Here is a 2,379-nt window from a genome sequence, read left to right as displayed (position 1 = left end):
TGGCTTGGTAGTGGCGAATTCTGTCAGCATTTGTTTGTCTGAAAAAGACTGTACTTTCCATCATATGCGATGCTTAGTTTCAGTGGATAAAAAATTCTTGGCTGATAATTGTTTTGTTTGAGGAGGCTGAAGGTAGGGTCCCAATCCCTTTTAGCTTGTAGGGTTTCTGCTGAGAAATCTGCTGCTAATCTGGTAGGTTTTGCTTTATAGGTTACCTTGTTGCTTTTGTCTCACAGCTCTTAAGATTCTTTCCTTCGTCTTAAGTTTAGATAACCTGATGACAGTATGCCTAGGTGATGATTTTTGCAATAATTTCCCAGGTGTTCTTTGTGCTTCTTGTATTTGAATGTGTGGGCCTCTAGCAAGGCTGCGGAGGTTTTTCTCAATTATTTGCCCACATATGTTTTTCTAGCTTTTAGAATTCTCTTCTTTCTCAAGAACACTGATTATTCTTAGGTTTGGTAGTTTAACATAATCCAAGACTTCTTGGAGGCTTTGTTTATATTTTCTTATTCTTTTTCCTTTGTCTTTGTTCGATTGGGTTAATTCAAAGACCTTGTCTTCGAGCTCTGAATTTCTTTCTTCTACTTGTTCAATTCTGTTGCTGAGACTTTCCAGAGCATTTTGCATTTCTATAAGTGTGTCCAATGTTTCCTAAAGGTTTGATTGCTTTTTCTTTATGCTATCTATTTCCTTGAAGATTTCTCCCTTCACTTCTTGTATTGTTTTTCAGGTAAACCAGGGATTTCTTCTTGGTTTGGATCCATTGCTGATGAGCTAGTGTGATTTTTTGGGGGTGTTAAAGAGCCTTGTTTTGTTATATTACCTGAGTTGGTTTTCTGGTTCCTTCTCATTTGAGTAGATAGGCTCTGTCAGAGGAAAGGTCTAGGGCTGAAGGGTGTTGTCCAGATTATTTTGTCCCATGGGGTGTTCCCTTGATGTAGTACTCTCCCTCTTTTCCTATGGAGTTGGCTTCCTGAGAGCCAAGCTGTAGTGACTGTTATTTCTCTTCTGGGTCTAGCCACCCAGCAAGTCTACCAGGCTCTGGGCTGGTACTGGGAGTTGTCTGCACAGAGTCCTGTGATGTGAACCGTCTATGGGTCCCTCAGCTGTGGATACCAGCATCTGTTCCAGTGGAGGTGGCAGGGCATGAAATGGATTCTGTGAGTGTTCTTAGCTTTGGTGGTTTAATGCTCTATTTTTGTGCTGGTTGGCCTCCTGCCGGGAGTTGGTGCTTTCCAGTAGCATCAGCTGTGGTAGTATGGAGAGGAACCAGTAGTGAGCACGGCCCTAGAACTCCCAAGAATATATGCCCTTTGTCTTCAGCTACCAGGGTGGGTAGGGAAGGCCAATGAGATGGGGGCAGGGCTAGGCATGTCTGAGCTCAGACTCTCCTTCAGCAGGTCTGGCTGTGGCTGCTGTGGGGGATGGGGTGAGGTTCCCAGGTTACTGGAGTTGTATACCTAGGAGTATTATGGCTGCCTCTGCTGAGTCATGCAGGTTATCAGGGAAGTAGGGGAAAGCCGGCAGTCACAGGCCTCACCTAGCTCCCATGTGATCCAAAAGGCTGGTCTTATTCCCACCATGTCTCCCTAACAGTGCCAAGTCTGTTTGCAGGCAGTGGGCAAGCAGGGCTGAGAATTTGCCCCAGGATACCTGCCTACCAGCCTCAAAAGAAAAGGGCTTTCGTTCTTCCTCTGCCTGTGGAGTCTGTACGCAGGATTTGCGTCCTCCCCCGAGTTCTGGTCAGGGGGCTTTTTGATTGGTTCAAATTGTTACAAAGTTCAGCTGGAGACTTCCTTCTCCCGGTGGCATTTTCCCTGCACCTCTGGCCGCCCTCCTGAAGGATCCCTGTGGTTTCAGGCAGGAATGGCCTGCTTGGGGACCCAGCAAGTTCCCAGGGCCTTTCCTGCCACTTTCTGTACCCCTGTATTTCACTCAGCTCTCTAAATGGACTCAGCTCCAGGTAAGGTTGGAATCTTCTCCCGTGAACTAGACCTTCAGTTTCCCCGGTTGGGGTGTGTGTTCAGCGGCAGAGTATCTCCCGTTCCCACTTCCACAGTTTGGGCACTCACAGTATTTGGAGTGTCTCCCGGGTCCCGCAGGATCAGTCCGCTTCCTTCAGGAGTCTGTGGGTCCTCTCAGGATTCCTGATTTATTCCTGTAGTCATTCTGGAGATAAAATTCACAATGCGAGGCTCCACACGTTGCTCTGTCCACCTGAGTTGGAGCTGGAATCTGGTCCTGCCTCCTGTCCACCATGATCATTTGCCAAGTTTTTAATGGGGTTGTTTTTTGCTTGTTGATTTATTTATGTTCGTTATAGATTCTGGATATTAGACTTCTGACAAGTCATTTGACCATGCTGTCTCAGTTTTA

General features: G+C 46.4%; 1 annotated feature.

Annotated features, from left to right (window-relative positions):
• Positions 729–1,928: an enhancer, noted in NCBI's record as "MED14-independent group 3 enhancer chr14:39401304-39402503 (GRCh37/hg19 assembly coordinates)". NCBI's record gives its function as "activates an origin of replication core promoter dependent on BRD2, BRD4, P300/CBP and CDK7 cofactors, and independent of MED14, by STARR-seq in HCT116 cells {active_cell/tissue: HCT116}" and the evidence as "EXISTENCE:reporter gene assay evidence [ECO:0000049][PMID:35650434]".

Source organism: Homo sapiens, chromosome 14, assembly GCF_000001405.40.
Source record: "Homo sapiens chromosome 14, GRCh38.p14 Primary Assembly".
Lineage (NCBI taxonomy): Eukaryota > Metazoa > Chordata > Mammalia > Primates > Hominidae > Homo > Homo sapiens.
Note: the sequence above shows the minus strand (reverse complement) of the source record. Positions and strands in the feature narration are given on the sequence as shown.